The sequence below is a fragment of the Homo sapiens genome, chromosome 2, assembly GCF_000001405.40.
Source record: "Homo sapiens chromosome 2, GRCh38.p14 Primary Assembly".
In the NCBI taxonomy this organism is placed as follows: Eukaryota; Metazoa; Chordata; class Mammalia; order Primates; family Hominidae; genus Homo; species Homo sapiens.
Window position 1 is genome coordinate 11,132,449 of NC_000002.12, and position 22,245 is coordinate 11,154,693.

The window sequence follows — 22,245 nt, forward strand, 5'->3', positions numbered from 1 at the left end:
CAGATTCTCACTGTTCCTTTCAGCTGGTGACTGACTGTGTGACCGTGGGCGGTCACTTAATCTTGCCGGTAAGGGCCTCAGTTTCCTCATCTGTAGAATGGCGTTGGAAAGGCATGGCTGGGAGGTCTCAGATAAAGCAGAGTGCTGTGTGAACGCTCTGGGTTTGCAGACAGAGTGGATGTTCCTAGTGCATTGCACTCATTTTCCTCGCCCAACATAAGCTCATGACTTCCGCCATCGTTCCCAAACAAGCAGGAAGCTTCACACTGATGCCTGATCCACAATTCCCAAAGCGCCCTCAGGGCCACCATTTCTTGCGAGCCTCGCAGCATCCACGAGGGGGCAGCACAGGACTAACATCGCCCCACGGCCTGACGGGCTGCCGGAAGCAAGTGCAATAATGGTGGGGGTGGCCCCCAGGAGCCCCAGCTTTGCTCCCTCCCCCTCCCCCACCCTGTGCGGAGGACTCCGGCCTTGGGGTAGGGGGCTGCTGAACTGGGCGTGGCATCTAGTCAGGAACTCTCTGCCCCCCAGCCCTAGGGCTCAGATCACACACACACACACACACACACACACACACACACACACACACACGGGGCCCGCCCCTTTCCTAGGAGCTGTCCGTTCCCAGGACAACAGTCAACACAGCACAGGCGGGAGTTCAAAACGAAACTGGGCTCAAATGCTCTCCCCAGCCCGGAGAGCCCTGTCCCCATCGGCCACTCTGAGCTCGAGGCCTAAAGGGACAGTGAGGAGGACCCTGCCCAGGCTCTCCCGGGGTTAGGAGGGACAGAGTGTTCCAGGAGGAGGTTTGAGCTGAGCTCAGGCACAGGTCTCTCTCTCTCTCTCTCTGACACAAGCGCACACACACACACACACTTGCACCATGGGGAGCCACCCCACCCCTGGGCTCCAGAGAACCACATCAGCTGGGTACCGATTGCCCCCCACCAGGCCACCAGCCTCGGTCTCCCCAGCTGCCCGGGGTGGCCCTATGGCCAGCAGGGGTCTTGCTGGTGGCTGCCAGGCCCCCCAGGCTCTGAAGGCGCAGCGGGTGGCTCAGGGAGCTGCCTGCGATGGCGTGCAGCAGGACCAGCTGTGGCGGGAGCTCCTGGAGGCCGAGCGGCGGGGCCAGCAGCGCTGGTGAGTACCTGCCCTCCCTTTTCCACCCTGACTCCGCAGCCTGACTGCAAGTTGGGGAAGGTTTTGGAGAAAGGGAGATGGGAGGGCAAATGATCTGGCTGAGGGACAGAGGGCATGGCATGCCCGGGGGAAGGTGGGTCACCAGCCCAGCCCAGAGCCAGACCCGAGCCTGAGCCTAAGAAGCGAGGAAGATGGAAGCCAAGACCAGATGCCGCTGGGTCAGAGCAGCCCCACCTCGTTCATTCCGACTGCGACGCGGCCGGTAATCCCTTGAGCTGGAGCCTGCTGGCCTAGTCTGGGTTAGAGGAGCTGGCTGTCTGACCTGACTCGGGGAAAGGATGCTCCTTCATGCATTCATTCAACCAAAAATACCCATGAGCCGCTCTGAAACGAGACCAGACTGCAACAAGGGACTAGACAGACCTGGCCATGGCTCCACCGAGCCTTCATACTCAGGACAGGGCAGCCAAAAAGCAAGCAGAGAAGCAAACAAGTACAAATCTGTATGAAGTGTGACCAGCGGTAAGAAGGAAACAGTTCAGGGTCGGGGGCAGAGCCGGCTGAAGGCCTCTCTGAGGAGGAGACATTTAAGCTGAGACATGAAATAGGAGAAGGAGCCAAGAGTTTGATGTATCTAAAAAACAAAACAAAGAATTCGTGTAGCTGAGGCACAGGGAGTGAGGAAGGCCACAGGATGAGGGGGAGCAGCGGGGGCCACCCCAGCCCTTATAAAAGTCTGGATGCATTTTTTCCAAAGGAGACACCATCCAGGATTTTAAGCGGGAACATGGCATGATCTCGATTACATTTTTAAGTGAGCAGCCTGATAGATTCTAGGATGCATTCATCTTGCACCACTGAAACTTCATACCCGTTGATTAGCAACGCCCCATTCCCCCTCCTCCCAGCCTCTGGCACCCACCATTCTAGTCTTTGCTTCCAGGAGTCTATTTTCAGTGCCTCATAGAAGTGGAATTGTGCAATATTTGACTTTCCATGTCTGTTTTGTTAGTATCCTGTCCTCCAGGTTCATCCATCTTGTTGCATATCGCAGAATTTCCTCCCATTTTAAGGGTGAATGTATATATGTGTGCAGTTTCTTTATTCATTTGTCAATGGACTTTTAGGTTGCTTCCACATTTGACTATTATGTGTAGTGCTACAATGGGCATGGGAGTGATTTCAGTTCTTTTGGAGAAATTCTCAAAAATGGATATCTTAGTCCATTTTGCATTGCTGTCAAGGAACACCTGAGGCTGGGTAATTTATAAAGAGGTTTATTTGGCTCACAGTTCTGCAGGCTGTACGAGCATAGTCCTGGAATCCACTTGGCTTCTGGTAAGGGCCTCAGGAATCTTACAATAATGGCAGAAGGTGAAGGAGGAGCAGGCATGTCACATGGTAAGAGGGACCAAGAGACAGAGAGAGAGACAGAGAGAGAGGAGGTGTCAGGTTCTTTTTAACAACCAGCTCTCTCCTGTGAACTAATAGAGCAAGAGCTCATCCATTACCGCAAGGATGGCACGAAGCCATTCGTGACCCAAACACCTCCCACTAGGCCCTACCTTCAACACTAGGGATCACATTTCAGTATGAGATTTGGAGAGAACAAACATTCAAACCATATCGGAGGGATTGCAGGATTATACGGTACCTCTATTTGTAATTTTTTGAGGAACCTCCATTGTCTTTTGCATAGCAGTGGCACCATTTCGCATTCCCATCAGCAGTATCTCAGCATTTCAGTTTCTCCACACGCTGGCCAACACTCATTGATTGTCTTTTGTTTTTTGATAACAGCCATCCTAATAGGTGTGACGTGGTATCTCATTGTGATTTTTTGTTTTGTTTTGTTTTGAGATGAAGTCTCACACTGTCACCCAGGCTGGAGTGAAGTGGTGTGATCTCGGCTCATTGCAACCTCTGCCTCCTGTGTTCAAGCAATTCTCCTGCCTCAGCCTCCTGAGTAGCTGGGATTACAGGTGCCCTCCACCATGCCTGGCTAATTTTTGTATTTTTAGTAGAGACAGGTTTTTACCATGTTGGCCAGGCTGGTTTTTTTTGGGGTTTTTTTGGTTTTTTTTTTTTTTGACAGAGTCTCACTCTGTTGCCCAGGCTGGAGTGCAGTGGGGTGATCTCAGCTCACTGCAAGTTCTGGCCAGGCTGGTCTTGAACTCCTGACCACAGATGATCCACGTGCCTCAGCCTCCCAAAGTGCTGGGACTACAGGTGTGAGCCACCGTGTTTGACCTCATTGTGGTTTTGATTTGCATTTCTCTGATGATGAGTGACATTGATCATCTTTTAATATATTTATTTGCCATTTATTTATCTTCTTTGGAGAAATATCTATTCAAGTCCTTAACCCATTTTTTCAATTGGGTTATTTGGTTTGGTGCTACGAAGTTGTAGAAGTTCCTTATATATTTTGGAAATTAACTCCTTATCAGAAATATGATCTGTAAATATTGTCTCCCATTCTGTGTGTTGCCTTTTCACTTCATTGCTTGTTTCCTTTGCTCTTCAGAAGTTTTTGAGTTTGATGTAATCCCATCTGTCTATCTGCTTTTGTTGCCTGTCCTTTGTGTGGCATATCCATGGAATAATTGCCAAGACCAATGTCATGAAGCTTCTTCCTATGTTTTTGACTGGATTGGTATGTATCATGTTAGAAAGGATCCAATTTCATTCTTTTGCATGTGAAAACTTCTGCACAGCAAAGACAACAATTAACAGAGTGAAAAGGCAACTTACAGAATGACAGAAAATATTTACAAACTGAGTAAATGTGGGAGGAAAGGTGAGGAAGGAGTAAAGGATGACAGGTCTCAGCTTGAATAATTAATAAGGAGGAGAAGAAAATGATGAAGATGCTGAGTTCTGGTGAGTTTTAAATGCCTGAACCACGTCTAGATGGAGCTGCCCAGGAGGTAGTTGAGTGTGAGAGTCAGGAGTTGCGCATTAAAAACCCATCCAGAAGGGGAGGATGAGGACTGACTGCAAATGGACACAGGTGTTTTGGAGGATGAGGACTGACTGCAAATGGACACAGGTGTTTTGGGGGTGATGAAATGTTCTGGAATCAGAAAGTGGTGATGGTTGCCCAACTCCGTGAATATATTAAAAGTCATTTAATTGTGTCCTTTAAAAGGTGAATCTTATGGAATGTGAATTCTATCTCAATTTTAGAAGGAAACGGGTGGGCATTGGCCCCAGCGATGTGAATAAGCTCTCTCTGGAAGAGCACAATGGATCAGAAGAGGCGAGGATGCAGGACAGAACTTGTAACATTTACTAGAAGGGCAGAGACGCTGCCAGGAAACACCAGAGAAGAAAGCCAGGGGCACAAGGAGGCATAAAGACCAAGGGGAAAGAGTTTTGCAAGGCCTGGAAAGCCCAAAGAGGAATGTGCAAGGCAGTGCTGCCCAACGGAAATACAATGTGAGCCACACACATAGCTTAAATTTTCTAGTAGCCTGCTTATAAAAATGAAACAAGAGGTCGGGCACAATCGCTCACACCTATAATCCCAGCACTTTGGGAAGCTGAGGTGGGCAGATCACCTGAAGTCAGGAGTTCGAGACTAGCCTGGCCAACATGGTGAAACCCCATCTCTACTAAAAACACAAAAATTAGCCAGGCATGGTAGTGTGCACCTGTAATCCCAGCTACTCAGGAGGCTGACGCAGGGAGAATTGCTTGAACCCGGCAGGCAGAGGCTGCAATCAGCCGAGATTGTGCCACTGCACTCCAGCCTGGGTGACAGAGTGAGACTCCATCTCAAAAAAAAACAAAAAACAAAAAGAACTTGTAGAAATAAAAATATATAAAGTTGAAATATAAGACATAACTGAAGTGAGACTTCATAAACTCAAGACAGGAGAAATTATTCAGAAAATCAAGACAGAAAACACAAATGACGAATTAAAAACGTAGAGAAACTGAACAAGAAGGTCCAACCTATCTTTAATCAAAACTCCCAGAGGAGAGAATGGGAGAGAGAATGTCTAAAGAGAAAGTAAGTGAGAATTTTCCAGAACCAAAGAAATGCATGAGTCCACAGATATTGGAGTAGGTGCTCCACAAAAACAGGTGCATTAACAAGAAAGTGAGACATGGAATTCCCAAAGAGGGGGATGCCAGTGTGTTGGTGAAGGAAAAGACCAGCCTGTGATCTTGAGGCATGGCTAGGCCAGTGGGAGCAGGAGGATATGGGGCTTCTGAGGAGGTGTCTAAGAAAGGTTTTATTTTATTTCTTTCTTTCTTTATTTTGAGACGGAGTCTTGCTCTGTCACCCAGGCTGGAGTGCAGTGGTGCCATCTCGGCTCACTGCAAGCTCCGCCTCCCGGGTTCACGCCATTCTCCTGCCTCGGCCTCCCAAGTAGCTGGGACTACAGGTGCCCGCTACCACGCCCGGCTAATTTTTGTATTTTTAGTAGAGACGAGGTTTCACCGTGTTAGCCAGGATGGTCTCGATCTCCTGACCTCGTGATCTGCCTGCCTCGGCCTCCCAGAGTGCTGGGATTACAGGCGTGAGCCACCGCGCCTGGCAGAAAGGTTTTAAAGGAATGTTTATTATCTGATGCACATGACTGTGTAGAAAATAATATTGAGAGGGACTTTTCAGTTTTGTTGGAGCATGTGAAATCAATGATCAGTACATAGAAGCCTAAATAAAATTGGGAGGAAATGTAATTTCTCTATTAGCTCTAGAAAGAATACAAGGTTGTACAAGAACAGAATTGGGGTATATTGCACTCCTTAGTTCACCAGGGGATAACATTTACATAATCATAAGAATCAAAACGATACATATCAATTTAACTGAGATCTATAATGATTTTGAAAGAACAAAGGGAAGGGCAGGGGTAAGAATGATAACTCTTCATCTCCCATAATAGAAAGTCGATAGATAAGTTTAAATTTTAAAAAATATTAAGAAACAGCAGTGGATATGGTGTGGATCTGTGTCCCCACCCAAATCGCATGTTGAATAGTAATCCCCAGTTTTGGAGGTGGGGCCCGGTGGAAGGCGATTGGATCATGCGGGTGGCTTCTCATAAATGGTTTATACCATCCCCATGGTACTGTCCTCACAGTAGTGAGTTCTCACCAGATCTGGTTCTTTTAAAGTGTGTGGCACTTCCCTTCTCTCTCCTTTGCTCCTGCTCTGGCCATGTGACCTGCCTGCTGCCACTTTGCCTTCCACCATGATTGTAAGTTTCCTGAGACCACCCCAGAAGCTAAGCAGATGCCAGCATCCTGCTTCCTGTACAGCCTGTGGAACTGTTAGCCAATTACACCTTCTTTTTTTTATTTTTATTTTTATTTATTTTTATTTTTTGAGACAGAGTCTCACTCTGTCACCCAGGCTGGAGTGCAGTGGCTTGATCTCTGCTCACTGTAACCTCCACCTCCTGGGCTCAAGCGATTCTCCTGCCTCAGCCTCCCTAGTAGCTGGTATTACAGGCGCCCGCCACCATGCCCGGCTAATTTTTGTATTTTTGGTGGAGACAGGGTTTCACCATGTTGGCCAGGCTGGTCTCGAACTCCTGACCTCAGGTGATCCACCCACCTTAGCTTCCCAAAGTGCTGGGATTACAGGCGTGAGCCACCGCACCTGTCCTACACCTTCTTTATAAATTACCCAGTCTCAGGTATTATTTATAGCAAGGCAAGAATGGCATAATACAGCAGTAGAATCCTATTATTTCAAAATATGGATGCAAAGGCCTGAAGAAACAGCTAAAAGGCTGGCAAAGGTTTGACTCTAGGATGTGGGGCTCAGGGGCTGTGAGGATGGGGACAGAGAAGGCTGTTTTTATTATGTTTTGTAGAATTGTTTGACTTTTTAAGATTAGATTCAAATAAAACTAAATGGCCAGTGCAAGCTAATACTATCCTTATGGTCCCTCCCTTTTCCTACCTCTCCCTAGCCTTCCTCTATCACTCACATTGGAAAGTTACAAAGGTTTGGGGATGTGAAAACTTTTTTCTTCAGAGAATGCTTGCCTACTGTAGCCTTCTGAAATGCACAGAGGCAGGGCGAGATGGTAGCCTTTGCTTTCCTTAGGCAGCCCCACCATAGTGACATCATATTTGTCGTTCTAGGAAAAGTCATTGGAAATTGAAATGTTTGTTCCTTTGGTAGGATACACCATAAATACCTGCTTGACACTTGGCATTTGTTTCACTTAAAAATTATTTTGTTCTGGCTGGGCACAGTGGCTCATGCCTGTAATCCCAGCACTTTGGGAGGCCAAGGTGGGTGGACCACCTGAGGTCAGGAATTCAAGACCAGCCTGACCAATATGGTGAAACCCCATCTACACTAATAATACAAAAATTAGCCGGGTGTGGTGGCATGCACCTGTAGTCCCAGCTACTTGGGAGGCTGAGACAGGGGAATTGCTTGAACCTGGGAGGCAGAGGTTGCAGTGAGCTGAGATTATGCCACTGCACTTCAGCCTAGGTGACAGAGCGAGACTCCCTCTCAAAAAAAAAAAAAAAAAAAGGCTGGGCGTGGTGGCTCACGCCTGTAATCCCAGCACTTTGGGAGGCCGAGGCGGGCGGATCACAAGGTCAGGAGATCGAGACCACGGTGAAACCCCATCTCTACTAAAAATACAAAAAATTAGCCAGGCGCGGTGGCGGGTGCCTGTAGTCCCAGCTACTCGGGAGGCTGAGGCAGGAGAATGGCGTGAACCCGGGAGGCGGAGCTTGCAGGGAGCCAAGATTGCGCCACGGCACTCCAGCCTGGGTGACAGAGTGAGCCTCCGTCTTAAAAAAAAAAAAAAAAAAAAAAAATTATTTAGTTCTTCCACGTGATACATTGTTGCATTGACTTGACACAGTGAAAGTCATTGGTAAAAATGTCCTGGAAGGAACTCACACAGCCAACATGTTTTTCCTTTCCAGGATTCAGAACTGGAGTTTCCTGAAAGACTATGACCCAATGGTAAGGTAAAATATGTTCCTGCCAAACATACTTGCAATTGAATATTACTCATTCTTTCCATCATTCAACTAACATTTATTGAAGATCTACTCTACACCAGATACTGGATGTGCAGCGATGAGTCAAATACACTCTTGTTTCAAGGAATGCAGGGTCCGTTGGATAGAAAACAGTTACATGAAGCATTTAGAAATGTGTTTCCCTCAGTGTTTCTTAATTTTATTAAGATGAACCAATTGGAAATGACAGGCATCTGTTGCTGAAATGTCTCCCCTGATTGAGGATGGCAGCAATATGTAGTCATATCTGTGTGGCGTGCCCGAGAAGGACAATGAGATTGGGTAAAAATACTTTGTAAACAAATTCCCTGACTCTGGTATCACCACCTCCAATCCATCCTCCACATTGCCACCAGACTAATTTCCCTAAACGGCAGAACTGGCCATGTAGCTCCCCTGATTAAAATGCTTCAGTAAGTCTGAAATTTTCAGGTGGCTTACAAAGCCTCCTGTGATCTAAACCATCTATCTCCCCAGCCTCATTACCCACCCCACACAGACCCCACAACACACTTTTTTTTTTTTTTTTTTTTTTTTTGAGATGGAGTCTTGCTCTGTCGCCCAGGCTGGAGTGCAGTGGTGCAATCTTGGCTCACTGCAATCTCCACCTCCTGGATTCTAGTGATTCTCCTGCCTCAGCCTCCTGAGTAGCTGAGATTATAGGTGCACACCACCATGCCTGGCTAATATTTGTATTTTTAGTAGAGAGGGGGTTTCACTATGTTAGCCAGGCTGGTCTCGAACTCCTGACCTCAATTAGCCAACTGCCTCGGCTTCCCAAAGTGCTGGGATTACAGGCATGAGCCACCACACCCAGCCCCCACAACACTCTTTTATCTATGCCTTTGGGCATGCTCGTCCCCTGCTGGAATGTCCTTCCACCTGGTCAGCCTGATGGACTCCTATTCACTCTTCAAGATCCTGCTCTAGTGCCCCCTCTTCTAGGGAATCTCACCTTCCTGGGCAGGCTTGACCAGATCACTCCTTCCTTTGATTCACCAGCATATCTCACCCGTTATTTTGGTATTCCATGTAATGTAATACTGCAATGCCCAATTTCACCAGCTGTGAACTCCTTAAGAGAAAGGATGAGGCCAGGAATGGTGGCCCATGCCTGTACTTGGGGAGGCTGAGGTGGGAGGATCACCTGGACCCATGAGTTCAAGACCAGCCTGGGCAACATAGGGAGACCCTGTCTCTACAAAAATAACATTATTTTTTAAAAAGAGAAAAGATGAATATGAATTCATCACTGCACCCTATCACAACCCTAGCATTTGCCCCATCCCCCAGAGACCATAAAAGAGTGAACATTCAGTTCATGCTGGATGAATGAATGAATGGAAAGATGGATCTCACTACAAAAAGGATGATCAGCTGGATGCGGTGGCTCACGCCTGTAATCTCAACACTTTGGGAGGCCGAGGCAGGTGGATCACCTGAGGTTGGGAGTTCAAGACCAGCCTGACCAACATGGAGAAACCCCATCTCTACTAAAAATACAAAAATTAGCCGGGTGTGCTGGTGCATGCCTGTAATTCCAGCTACTCGGGAGGCTGAGGCAGGAGAATAGCTTGAACCTGGGAGGCAGAGGTTGCAGTGAGCAGAGATCACGCCATTGCACTCCAGCCTGGGCAACAAGAGCAAAATTCAGTCTCAAAAAAAAAAAAAAAAAAAAAGATGGTCAAAGAACCAACCTGGAAGATGAGCAATATGGAAAGTCACTCGAGGGGGTGGCCATGCTTACCTGGACCCTGCCAGGTTGAGGAAAGTTTTAATGCCTGCATTGTGGACCTGCTGGACTTGTTGCTGTCTATTCTGGAGGGAAAATTCAGCTCATGGGACCTGATATCCCGACCTGTGCATCTGGTCTGGGCTTCCAGCCTGTAAGAGTCTCTCCCTGCTAAGGGCTACATGATAGCAACCTGACTACTGAAATCTGCATCATGGCCAAAGGGTGGAGCCACCTCGGCATGGACTTTGCCAGGTGAAAACCATGATCTCCTTACTTGACAGGTCATGTCATTTCTATTAGACACAGGGTAGCAGAAAGGTAACCCTAAACAGGGGCAGGAAGAGCTGAGGATGTTTTCCCACTTGTCAGATTTTTTTTTTTTTTTTTTTTTTTTGAGATACGGTCTCACTCTGTTGCCCAGGCTGGAGTGAAGTAGCATGATCATGGCTCACTGCAGCCTCAACCTCCTGGGCTCTAGTGATCCTCCCACCTCAGCCTCCTGAGTAGCTGGGGCTTACATGCACGTGCCCCCACACCCAACTAATTTTTGTATTTTTTTGTAGAGACGGGGTCTCACCATGTTGCCCAGGCTGGTCTGAATCTTTCCGCCAAGGCTTCTCAAAGTGCCAGGATTAAAGGCAAGAGCCATGGTGCCTGGCCATCAGATTACATTTAGTCATTCATTCATGCATGCATCCGTTACAGAGTTTACCCAAACGCACGTTCACATATGGCCAAAACAGCACTACTCATAAAAGCCCCAAACTAGAATCAACCCAAGTGTGATCAGTGGTGATACAGGTGAATAACTTGTGTGATATTCACACAGTTCACACCATGGAGTACAGTTCACACCATGGAGTACAGTTCACACCATGGAGTAACGTACAGCACTGAGAATGAATGAACGGCAGCCACACTCCAAAGCTGAATGAATCTCACACACATAATGTTGAGAGAAAGAAGCCAGACAGAAGAGCCATGATTCCACTAATGTAAAGTTCAAAACCAGGCAAAGCTAATGCGTGGCATTAGAGGTCAAGGTCAGGGTGCCTTGGGAGCAGAGACAGGGGCTGAGGGGCTGAAAGGAGGTGGGGGAGGGGATCATACCCCTTGATCTGGTTGGGCACATGGGCATCTTCACTTTGTGAACATTTGTCAAGCTGGACAGTGATGGCTTGTGCGTTTTCTGTGTGAATGTTATACTCTTAAGTACAAATTTACCAAAAAAAAAAAAAAAAATCAAAACCTCCCACCAGATGTAAAGTGGCATCTTAGTCCTGGGGATAGAAAGGGGAATAAGACCTGATCCTTCCCTTGATCTCTGCAGGTCGCAGCATGAAAGTTAAGGGATCTGGGAGGCACCTGGGGAAGGGGAAGTGGAGGAAGAGGAGGGACAAGCTTGGCAGAGGCTGTGGCATCGGGTCACTCTTGGGGGATCCCAAGTCCAAACCAGGATTGAATCACCTGGAGATGCTTCACAAAGAGAGGCAGCTGCTCTCTGCTCTGTTTTCTCCCATTCTAAGGTCCTCCTTTTTCCACGCTCTGTGTGACCCGAGCTGTCCCCTCTCCTCAGGGCAACAAGAAGGAGCCTGAGAAGTTGCCAGACCATGTGCCTCTCTTTTCGGACACAGTTCCCAGTTCCACGAACCAGGTTGTGGGCAGCAGGCTGGACACACCCCTGGGACAGACTCTCATCCGCATGGACTTCTTCTTCACAGAAGGGGCCCGGAAGAAGAAGCTGGAGGACCAGATGCAGCCCATCTAGGAGCAAGGAGGGCTGGGCTGGCCTTCCCCAGGTGGGTGTGGGTGGGGACAAGAGACCCAGCCCACAACAGCACCAGTCAGCTCCCCACACAAGGCAGCTTGGGTCTGCACTGTCTGTAAGCTGCAGGACACTCTTCCAGGGGACCCAAGGGGTCACTCTTACACACTTTTTACACGTAAGATTCAGAGGAGTCAGTAACTGGTCCACGGCCGTACAATCCCCAGCCCTTCCAGCTTGGGAACTCATGGGTGCCCCATGAAAGGGACCCTGCATTGTGGTCAGGAGCACTGAATGCCTGGGTTCAAATCCAGCTTGTGACCCTGATGAGCTGTGGGACCTTGAGCTGGCTGCTGCAACACTCTGTGCCTCCGTCTCCCCTCCTGCGATTCAGTGTGTTCACTCCTTGCAGCTGCTGTGACAAGTGAGCACAAACTGCATAGCTTAAAACAACACAAACGTATCATCTTACAGCTCTGAAGATCACAACTCTGACATGGGTGACATGTTGCAGAGCTGTGCTCTTTTAGGAGTATCTGGGGAAGAATCTATTTCCACATTTTTTCCAGTTTCTCAAGGCAGCCTGTATTCCTTAGTTGGCAGCTCCTTACTCCGTCTTTGAAGCCAGCATCCTAGCATCTTCAAATCAGTCTCTATCGCTTGCTCTCTCCTGCCTCACTCCTTCATCTTTTCTTTCTTTCTCTCTCTCTCTCTTTTTTTTTTAGAGACAGTGTCTTACTCTGTCACCTAGGCTAGAGGGCAGTGATGCAATTATAAATCATTGTAGCCTTGAACTCCCGGGCTCAAGCAATCCTCCCACCTCAGCCTCCCAAGTAGCTAGGGATACAGACACATGGCAACATGCCTGGCTAATTTTTTTTTTATTTTTATTCCAGACAGAGTCTCGCACTGTCGCCTAGGCTGGAGTGCAACAGTGTGATCTTGGCTCACCGCAACCTCCGCCTCCTAGGTCCAGGCAATTCTCCTGCTTCTGCCTCCTGAGTAGCTGGAATTACAGGCATGTGCCGCCATGCCTGGCTAATTTTTTGTATTTTTAGTAGAGATGGGGTTTCTCCATGTTGGTCAGGCTGGTCTGAAACTCCCAACTTCAGGTGATCCGCCTGCCTCAGCCTCCCAAAGTGCTGGGATTACAGGTGTGAGCCACTGCGCCCGGCCATGCCTGGCTAATTTTTAAAATTTTATGTAGAGATAGGGTCTCACTATGTTGACCAGGCTGGTCTTGAACTTTTGGGCTCAAATGATCCTCCCACCTTGGCCTCCCAAAGCACTGGGATTACAGGCATCTGGTTTCACTTCCTCCACCTTTTAAGGACCCTTGTGATTATATCACAACCTTTATATTTAAGCAAAAAAATGCAGAAAAGGCTTAGTTCCTCTTTGTTGGTTAAAACACAAATGGATTCATTCTTTCAAACATCCGCATTCTCCTCTTCTTCCTGGGTGCTCTGCCAGGCTGTGGTTTCCCTTGGTTTGGGTGGAGCATGTGACAGAGCCATGGCCAGTGGAATGGGAGCAAAAACCCTAGGTCTCCCTTCCAGGCCTGGTCCATGAGACACTCCAGGTATTGGCTTGTTCTCCTTTCCCCATCAGCTGAAGAAGGGAGAGGACTTGGAGGATGCAGGGAAGAGAGGGGCACAAGATGGAGGGAGCATGTCAGGACCAAGCCTGGAGCCCTGAGTGAGCTCGTGGAGCAGAATCTCCCGACACCCACACTGACACACAAACAAAATAAACAAAAACTGGCCAAAACAAAAACAATAGCCCACACTTCTAGGGTAAAGCATTTTAAATTTATTTTCTCAACAACCCAAGAGAATCAACAGGCAGGGATTTCGTATTCATTTAATACAGGCAAAACCTGAGATTCAGAGAGGTGAAATAAAATCCCGAACATACATTAATGCCAGGCCTCAAGCTTGAAGCCCAGTGTTCTCTGCAGGACCCCAGCCGTGGCCTCCAGAAAAGAGAGAAAAATGGGGCAGGGGCTGAAATGACTGCTCTGTCTTTGATGCTTGCTTGGGTCTTATTCGGCAGTAGCTAAATGTCACTGTTATTTGCATGCATTAACTCATTTAATCCTCTCAGCAACCCTATGAGATAGATACTCCTATAAATGAGGCAACTAAAGCGCAGAGAGGTTAAGTCACTTGCCCAAGGTCACACAGCTGGCAAGTGGTGAAGCTGGGGTTCAGACTCAGCAGTTGAGTCTGGCTCCAAGGACTATATACTTAAGCATTATGCTATATGGGTCCCCTTTAATCCTCAATGAATTGATTCCCCCAAATTTAGCAAATTACAGGATTTTTCTGCTTAAAGAAAGTCTCTTGATTCTTGAGAAAGGAAAAACTGATTTTTCCAATCTCTGGGATCCCTACTACCATCAAGAATAGATCATCGGTGTTTCCAGGAGTTACACAGGACAGGACACGTTATTTCCATGCAACAGCCCCTGTGTTTCATGCCATACCCTGGCCCTGAGCGACTGTGTGATGGAGCAGACCAGGCCCAGTGTGACTTGGCCAGGAAGAGGCCCAACCCTTCCTACTTGGATCTGGAGGCCACCGCCTTCTTTCTCAGTGTCTGACATGGAAGCTGGGCTCCCTCTCCACTCTGAGATCATCAGCTGGGTAAAGGTCAGTGGCCAGGACAGCCAGGGGTCCTGGTCACATCCTGGCTGCATCCCATGAAGGTCAAGTGCTCGTCCTTAGGCTGGGTGGGTACAAAGATGCTGGAGGCTCCTTAAAGACCCAATCTACGTTTTTGCCCTGAGCCTGCCTTATATTATTCTCACACTCAAAATAAAGAAGATTTCCATTTGAGGGAGGGAGAGGCACAAGAAAAGTCAAGGTTAAGGATGGCTGCAAGTGGTCAGGCCTGTGCAGAGGGGAGAGAATCACTGAGTGCCCTGGAGGGCAGTGAGGAGGGCCAGGGACCAGCGCCGGTTCTGCCACTCCTGGAAGCACAGCCACTTACAGACAATGCAACCTATAAGCACAGACTCTGGGCTTGGCACATTACCCACATTGTGTCTTTTGCACGTATTAGAATTGTCACCATTTGAGAGGTTTGGAAACTAAGCCGAACACTTCATTCAATCTGGTCAGGGTCTCACAACTAGTGAAGAGCCAGGATCCATCTCATGTGTGACTTCTCCATGCTGCCTTCCCCGCTCCAGGCCTCAGTCTCCACAGTTATAAAATGGCGCGGGAGGGAAGAAGACAGATTTAAGGGCATCTCCAGCTCCAGGATTCTCTTCTTTGAGCATTCAGGGAGTACTGAAGAAGAAAGGGGTTTGAGTTCTTTTACAGAGTGCATTAGTCAGCTGTGATAATGCTGTGTAACAAAACACCCCCTTCCTTGCTCACAGGTCTGCATGTAGCTGGGGCTCAGCTGATTTTGGCTGGGCTTGGCTAGACTTGCCTCCACACTTCAGGTTAGGTTCAAGTTTTTTGTGCATGTCTCTCATTCTCTTGGACTGAAAGCCTCCTGGGGCATGTTTTTCTCATGGCACATCACAAGGGTGCAAGGGCCCAACAGAACTGTGCAGGCACACTGATGGCTTCTGCATGCAGAACTGCTTTCTGTACTCTGCAATGACCTGTCATCACGCCAAATCCCTCACAACCAGCCCCACCCACCCTCTGCTCCTTGCCACATCTGCCTTCTTTTCAAGAAGACGCCTGCTTCTAACCTTCCCCATCTCACCCACTGGGAGCCCAGAAAACCAGGACAGAGGGGCATCTGCAGTGAAGTCCCAAGGCCAGCCTTTCAGCTCGTTTGGGCCAGAACAAGGGAGGGTGGATGGGCCAGGAGGTCATGAAGAAGTGGGCACCAAGCCTGCAGGGTCAGTGCCAGCAAAAGGAAATGGGGGCATTACCTATAAAGAGATGGGCACTTGGAGACCAAGGGCCAGGAGACAGCAGGGCTTCAGGAAAGGAAGAATCAAGACCTGAGAGCCATAGCAAGCCTGGAGGGATGCTTGCTTCACATTTTTTTTTTTTTTGAGATGGAGTTTCGCCAGCTTGTCGCCCAAGCTGGAGTGCAATGGTACGATCTCAGCTCACCACAACCTCCGCCTACCAGGTTCAAGCGATTCTCCTGCCTCAGCCTCCTGAGTAGCTGGGATTACAAGCATGCACCACCACACCCGGCTAATTTTGCATTTTTAGTAGAGACATGGTTTCTCCATGTTGGTCAGGCTGTTCTCAAACTCCCGACCTCAGGTGATCCACCTGCCTCGGCCTCCCAAAGTGCTGGGATTACAGGCATGAGCCACTGCGCCCAGCCAACTTTCCACATGATAAAAAATGACTTCTATCCACGGAAAGTACAAGGCGAGCCTGGAGCAACTTCCTGTGCCAGAAACTAAGAAAAATTCAAAAAGTGATGAAAATATGGAAAAGGGATACAAGGACCAGCCTAAATTTGGGACAATATGAGCATCGAAATGAAGAACAGTAATAGGCCACCCTGACCACGCCCATGCCCACCCCCAGCCAGTGCCACAAGCCCCACCAAATAACATTAATAATAATAACAATAACAAATAATCCATGGGTTCATACCAATAATTTTTTTAAATTTTAAGTACTAATGAAAACTCTTTTTTTTTTTTTTTTTTTTGAGATGAAGTCTCGCTCTCGTCCCCCAGGCTGGAGTGCGATAGTGCGATCTCGCTCACTGCAACCTTCGCCTCCTGGGTTCAAGCGATTCTCCTGCCTCGGCCTCCAAGTAGCTAGGATTACAGGCACCCGCCACCATGCCTGGCTAATTTTTGTATTTTTAGTAGAGACGGGGGTTCACCATGTTGGCCAAGCTGGTCTCGAACTCCTGACCGCAGGTGATCCGCCCGCCTCGGCCTCCCAAAGTGCTGGGATTACAGACATGAGCCACTGCGCCTGGCCATGAAAACTCTTTTCTATTGAAGAATGCAGAATAAATGATAACAGAAAAATCAGCATTTAATGACTCAGCAATAACTGACTTAGGCAAGAATCAATAAAAGACACTAAAACGACTGAGTGAAAGATTCTTAGAGAACGGTAAATGCTGAAATCTAGAAGATACTGCCTTAACCAAACTATTAAGCCAAACCTCACCAATAACAGGACAGCTGACACCGTGCTCCCCTGGTGTGGTTCACTGAGGACAACGCTACCTACTTACCTAGGAAGCACTCTTGCCAAAAAAAAAAAAAGTAACTAGAATATAATCAGGAAGAAACTCCTGGCAAACCCAAATTGAGAAATATTCTGCCAAAGAGTTGGCCTTGATTCTTCAAAAATGTCAATGTCTGCCAGGCGCTGTGACTCACGCCCATAATGCCGGCACTTTGGGAGGCCGAGGTAAAAGTATCGCTTGAGCTCAGGAGTTTGAGACCAGCCTGTACAACATGCTGAAACCGCATCTCTGCTAAAAATACAAAAAATTAGCCAGGTGTGGTGATGCAGGCCTATAGTCCCAGCTACTTGGGAGGCTGAGATGGGAGAATCACCTGAGCCCAGGAAGTCAAGGCTGCAGTGATTTATGATCTGATCACTGCCTTCCAGCCTGGGTGACAGAATGAGACCCTATCTCAAAAAAAATTAATTAATTAATTAAAATAAAATAAAAATAAAAAAAGTCAATGTCATAAAAGACAAAGAAAGGCTGAAGAAGTGATTCAGCCCGTGATCCTTGACTGGATCCTGGGTGAAAGCAAAAGCAGCTCTAAAGGACACTTTGCAGACTAAATGTTAGCTAACACCATTGTATCAGTGAGAAAGTGCAGAGTGTGGTGAGTCCATTGAGGCTCTGTAGAAGAAAGTCCTTGTTCTTTTTGTTTGTTTGTTTTTGAGACGGCGTCTCACCCCATTGCCCAGGTTGGAGTACAATGGCACAATCTTGGCTCACTGCAAACCTCCACCTCCCGGGTTCAAGCGATTCTCCTGCCTCAGCCTCCCGAGTAGCTGGGATTACGGGTGCGTGCCACCATGCCCAGCTAATTTTTTGTATCTTTAGTAGAGACGGGGTTTCACCATTCTGGCCGGGCTGGTCTCGAACCTCGTGATCCACTCGCCTCAACCTCCCAAAGTGCTGGGATTACAGGCGTGAGCCACTGTGCCCAGCCGAAAGCCCTTGTTCTTAGGAGGTGTTTGCTGAAAAGTCCCATGATGTATATAACAAACTTGCAAGTGGCTTAACGAAAAATTTGTGTTTAGGATTTTTTTTCTTTTTTTTTTGAGATGGAGTCTCGCTCTATCACCCAGGCTGGAGTGCAGTGGTGCCATCTTGGCTCACTGCAGCCTCCGCTTCCCAGGTTCAAGCAATTCTCCTGCCTCAGCCTCCCGAGTAGCTGGGATGACATGCACCTGCCACCATGCCCGGCTAATTTTTGTATTTTTGTAGAGACAGGGTTTCACCACATTGGCCAGGCTGGTCTTGAACTCTTGACCTCAGGTGATCTGCCAGCCTCAGCCTCCCAAAGTGCTGGGATTACAGGTGTGAGCCACCGTGCCCGGTGGTTTAGGAATTTTTTTTTTTAATGAAGGTGGGGGAATGGCCACTGTGAAAGAAAAATAAATCTCAACTCCAAAATCACTAAGCTAAGGGAAAAGTCAAGCTGGGAACCTGCCTCCCATTTTAATTCCTGAATAAGATGGCTATAAAGATAAAACAGCTACATGCCTCCCTCACAATTTGCCCACAAGGAAATTCCTTGTGGGCCTCAAGATCTTTACCCTACTCAGGATCATGCCAAGAATTAAAAAAAAAAACAAAAAACAAAACTTTACCCTGAAACATTTCTGTTGAATTCATCCTGGCAATGTAAACTGATAGCTGATCTTAACAGGTGCAGGACAGAAAATCATTCCTCTGCTCACCTGAGAGAAATGCTTATCTGATTGCTTCCTCAGACCTACTGTGTATGTAAAAATGAAGATTCACTGAGCCAGACTAGATTGTGAATTCACTGAAAGGCTGATCAAGGACTCAAAAGAATGCAAGCTTTTGTCTCTTATCTACCTATGACCTGGAAGCCCCCCTCTTCGAGTTGTCCTGTGTTACTGGATGGAACCAAAGTATATCTTACATATATTAATTGATGTCTCAGGTCTCCCTAAAATGCACAAAAGCAAGCTGTACCCCAGCCACCTTGGGGACGTGTCGTCAGGACCTGTTGGCAAAATAAACTTTTAAATTGCTTGAGACCTGTCTCAGATATTTTGGGTTTACTGCCACCACCAATGGCTCTCGAGTTCAGATCTCCTCTGTTGAAGAGAGTCAGGGGGTGAGGGTGGGGGAGGCATGGAATCAGTTTCTGCTCAATTCCATGTTCCCACGTGAAGGTGTAACCACCTAAAGGGCTCACCTTGCCCGCTGCCTAGACAGACCCCATTTATCAAGACAGGGGAAAGAGCAATTCACACAGAGCCAGCTGTGCGGGAGATTGGAGCTTAATTATTACTCAAATCAGTCTCCCTGAGCAGAGCATTCGGGGATGGAAGTGTTTTTGTTTTTGGTTTGGTTTGGTTTGGTTTTAGACGGAGTCTCGCTCTGTCACCCACTCTGTCTGGAGTGCAGTGGCACGATCTCGGCCCAGTGCAACCTGTGCCTCCTGGATTCAAGTGATTCTCCTGCCTCAGCCACCAGAGTAGCTGGGATTATAGGCACAAATCACCATGCCTGGCTAATTTTTGTTTTTAGTAGAGACGGGGTTTGGCCATGTTGGCCAGGCTGGTCTCTTACTCCTGACCTCAGGTGATCTGCACGCCTCAGCCTCCCAAAGTGCTGGGATTACAGGCGTGAGCCACCGCGCTCCGACTGGGGATGGAAGTTTTTAAAGATAATTTGGCCAGTAGGGGCTTGGGAAGTGGAAAGTGCTGATTGGTGAGGATGGAGATGGAATCACACGGGGGTCGAAGTGAAGTTTTCTCGCTGTCTTCTGTTCCCGAGCGGGGATTGCAGAACTGGTTGAGCCAAATAATTGGTCTGGGTGGTGTCAGCTGATCCATCCAGTGCAGGGGCTGCAAAATACCTCAAGCACTGATCTTAGGTTTTACAATAGTGATGTGATCCCCAGGAACAATTTGGGAAGGTTCAGACTCTTGCAGCCAGAGGCTGCCTGACCCTAAACTGTCATTTCTAATCTTGTAGCTAATTTGTTAGTCCTACAAAGGCAGACAGGTCCCAAGGCACAAAGGTGGTCTTTTCGGGAAAGGATTATTACTAATTTTGTTTCAGAGTCAAACCATAAACTAAATTCCTTCCCAAGGTTGGTTCAGCCTATGCCCAGGAAGGAACCAGGACAGCTTAAAGTTTAGAAGCAAGATGGGGTCAGTTAGGTCTGATTTCTTTCATTGTCATAATTTCCTGTTATAATTTTTGCAAAGGTGGTTTCAATGAGACTCCTTGGCCAGCTTCAGTCAGGGAGCTGATTCACTCTGTGCAGCTGTGGCCCAGGAGTGGGGTTAGGGTCCTGTAACAGATTGTGACCAGGGTTGCCATGTAGCTGGGGAGGAGGCAGAGGTCTCTAACATGGGGGCACTATCTTGTCCTGCAGAGATATCCCAGTGAGTGTGCACTGTAGAGACCCCCGTCCAGACACTCCCCAACCTCCTGAAGGGACAGAGGAGCCTCGCAGATCAGCTGTTTTGAGGCCATCCTCCAAGCAGAAGAGCTGGCATGCTCTTGAGATGTCCCGCTGGGCATGGGGGCTGAGACCCAAACGCCTTCCTGCATGGCCCAAACCTGGCTCCAACCTAGGACCGCCCCCATCCCCACAGCTTCAGGAGCAAAGCCAGTGCCCACAAATCCCAAAAAGGTTTTGCTAGTTTGCACCTGGTGGGGAATGACCATATACGTTGAGCACCTATTCTGTGCCTCTCAATAACCTTCTGAGCGGGATGGTTCTCCCCTTTTAAAAATGACGCTGAGGAACAGGGAAGTTAAGGTCTGTCCAAGATCATGCAGCCTGTAGGGGCCAATGCTAGGAGGACAGCTGAGGTCTGCCTAACCCCGAAGGGCCACACACCCACATCACTGCATCCTGGTCTTCACGCAAAGTAGCCAGGGAGGGGTCTAGGAGCCAGGAAGAAACCTCTTCCACAGCCCTGCCTCACCCAGCTGACCCCCAGAGCAGGCGGCTGCAGTGTCCTGGGCCAGGAGCAGCATTTGTTCCACAATGGAGGAGGCCACTCCCTGCGTGGTCCTGGGGGCACTCATACCTCTCAAAGGCCCCTCATGCTGCCTGCATCCCCAAGTGCTAGCGCAGGCTGACCCCAGGTGGGAGCAGTTCCCTCCTAAGGCTAGTCCTGGGGGCCCAGATCCTGGCCAACCCCTGGAATAAAGGCTGGGGCAGAAGGGGAAGAGGAGGGAGGGGGATTCCACTGCCATGTGGCAGGAACCAGGCACTTCCAACCAGGACCACCTCCTTGCATCAAGGGACCTATCACATGGCATGATGAAAGTAAAACACCTGGCACGCAGGAGGCACTCAACAGGTTCTAGATGTTCCTATAGTCATTGCTGCTGATGCTTGTTAAAAAGCTCTTTACGCTGGGCGCGGTGGCTCATGCCTGTAATCCCAGCACTTTGGGAGGCCAAGGCAGGTGGATCACCTGAGGTCAGGAGTTCGAAACCCCGTCTGTACTAAAAATACAAAAATTAGCCGGGAGTGGTGGCACATGCCTGTAATTCCAGCTACTTGGGAGGCAGAGGCAGGAGAATCACTTGAACCCCGGAGGTGGAGGTCGCAGTGAGCAGAGATCGTGCCACTGCACTCCAGCCTGGGCGACAAGAGTGAAACTCCGTCTCAAAAAAAAAAAAAAGCTCTTCTCTATTTTCTTCTTCAAAAAATTTATATACATATTATTTATTTATTTTTGAGACAGGGTCTGGCTCTGTCTCCCAGGCTAGAGTGAAGTGGCGCGATCTCGACTCACTGCAACCTCCGCCTCCTGGGTTCAAGCCATCCTCCTGTCTCAGCCTCCCGAGTAGCTGGGACCACAGGCACGCGCCACCACGCTCGGCTAATTTTTGTATTTTTAGTAGAGGCGGGGGTTTCCCTATGTTGCTCAGGCTGGTCTTGAACTCCTGGCCTCAAGCAATCTTCCCGCTTCGCGGGGTCAATAACGATCAGTATCGATCTAGCCAGGGCAGGTCCAAGCCGTTTCCTTTAAGGGTTCCCTTCTGAACATCCTTTTCTCATTTAGACTTGGGAGGCAGGACTCAGCACCTGTTTTTTTTTTTCCATAGGCGGAGGTGATGGGCCGGTGAGGCTGGAGAGAAAGAGCCTCGGCCAGAATTCCGAACTCCGAAGCTGACCCAGCTCCCGTCCCTCACACTTCCCGGCTGAGATTTATGGCACAAAACCAGGGATCGTGGATTCTGGCATTGCATTTTGGTGCTTTTTTGCCTGCTTCATAACCAGGCCCTAATACACAGGCGATTTTCAGAGGTTGGAAAATGCGTCCTTCCCTTTCCCTCAGTTTGTGGCTTAGACGGCCACGTCCAAGTTACTTTATCAGGAGAAATCCTTAAGAAACAGTTTCACTGTGAAGTGCTCAAGTTCAAGGCTTCCGGT

General features: G+C 48.4%; 1 protein-coding gene across 5 annotated transcripts, besides 1 other annotated feature; it reads left to right on the forward strand.

The window, feature by feature from the left end:
• Positions 1 to 679: 679 nt before the first annotated feature.
• On the forward strand, positions 680 to 22,128 carry CIMIP5 (ciliary microtubule inner protein 5). Of its 5 annotated transcripts, none has more exons than XM_006711857.3 (4): positions 680 to 1,143; positions 8,062 to 8,101; positions 11,472 to 11,694; positions 21,918 to 22,128. In XM_006711857.3, exons 1-3 carry the CDS (start codon positions 887 to 889, stop codon positions 11,661 to 11,663), a joined length of 489 nt encoding a protein of 162 aa, XP_006711920.1. In that variant the 5' UTR covers positions 680 to 886; the 3' UTR covers positions 11,664 to 11,694; positions 21,918 to 22,128. The 5 variants fall into 5 exon arrangements, with proteins under 5 accessions (XP_006711920.1, NP_001358249.1, NP_872306.1 ...); NM_001371320.1 differs by lacking the exon at positions 21,918 to 22,128 and adding an exon at positions 12,557 to 18,869; NM_182500.4 differs by lacking the exon at positions 21,918 to 22,128 and adding an exon at positions 14,089 to 18,869.
• Positions 19,850 to 20,350: an enhancer, noted in NCBI's record as "H3K4me1 hESC enhancer chr2:11292424-11292924 (GRCh37/hg19 assembly coordinates)". NCBI's record gives its function as "activates a minimal SCP1, AML or CMV promoter by ChIP-STARR-seq in primed H9 embryonic stem cells {active_cell/tissue: H9 hESC(primed)}" and the evidence as "EXISTENCE:reporter gene assay evidence [ECO:0000049][PMID:30033119]".
• Positions 22,129 to 22,245: the final 117 nt, after the last annotated feature.

What these genes read in the sequence shown, in the direction of transcription:
- CIMIP5 (XM_006711857.3), top strand. Translation starts at nt 887, where the DNA reads ATGGGGAGCCACCCCACCCCTGGGCTCCAGAGAACCACATCAGCTGGG. An exon ending in CGGCGGGGCCAGCAGCGCTG is followed by an intron (nt 1,144 to 8,061) that starts GTGAGTACCTGC and finishes TTTCCTTTCCAG; the next exon opens with GATTCAGAACTGGAGTTTCC. An exon ending in TGAAAGACTATGACCCAATG is followed by an intron (nt 8,102 to 11,471) that starts GTAAGGTAAAAT and finishes CCCTCTCCTCAG; the next exon opens with GGCAACAAGAAGGAGCCTGA.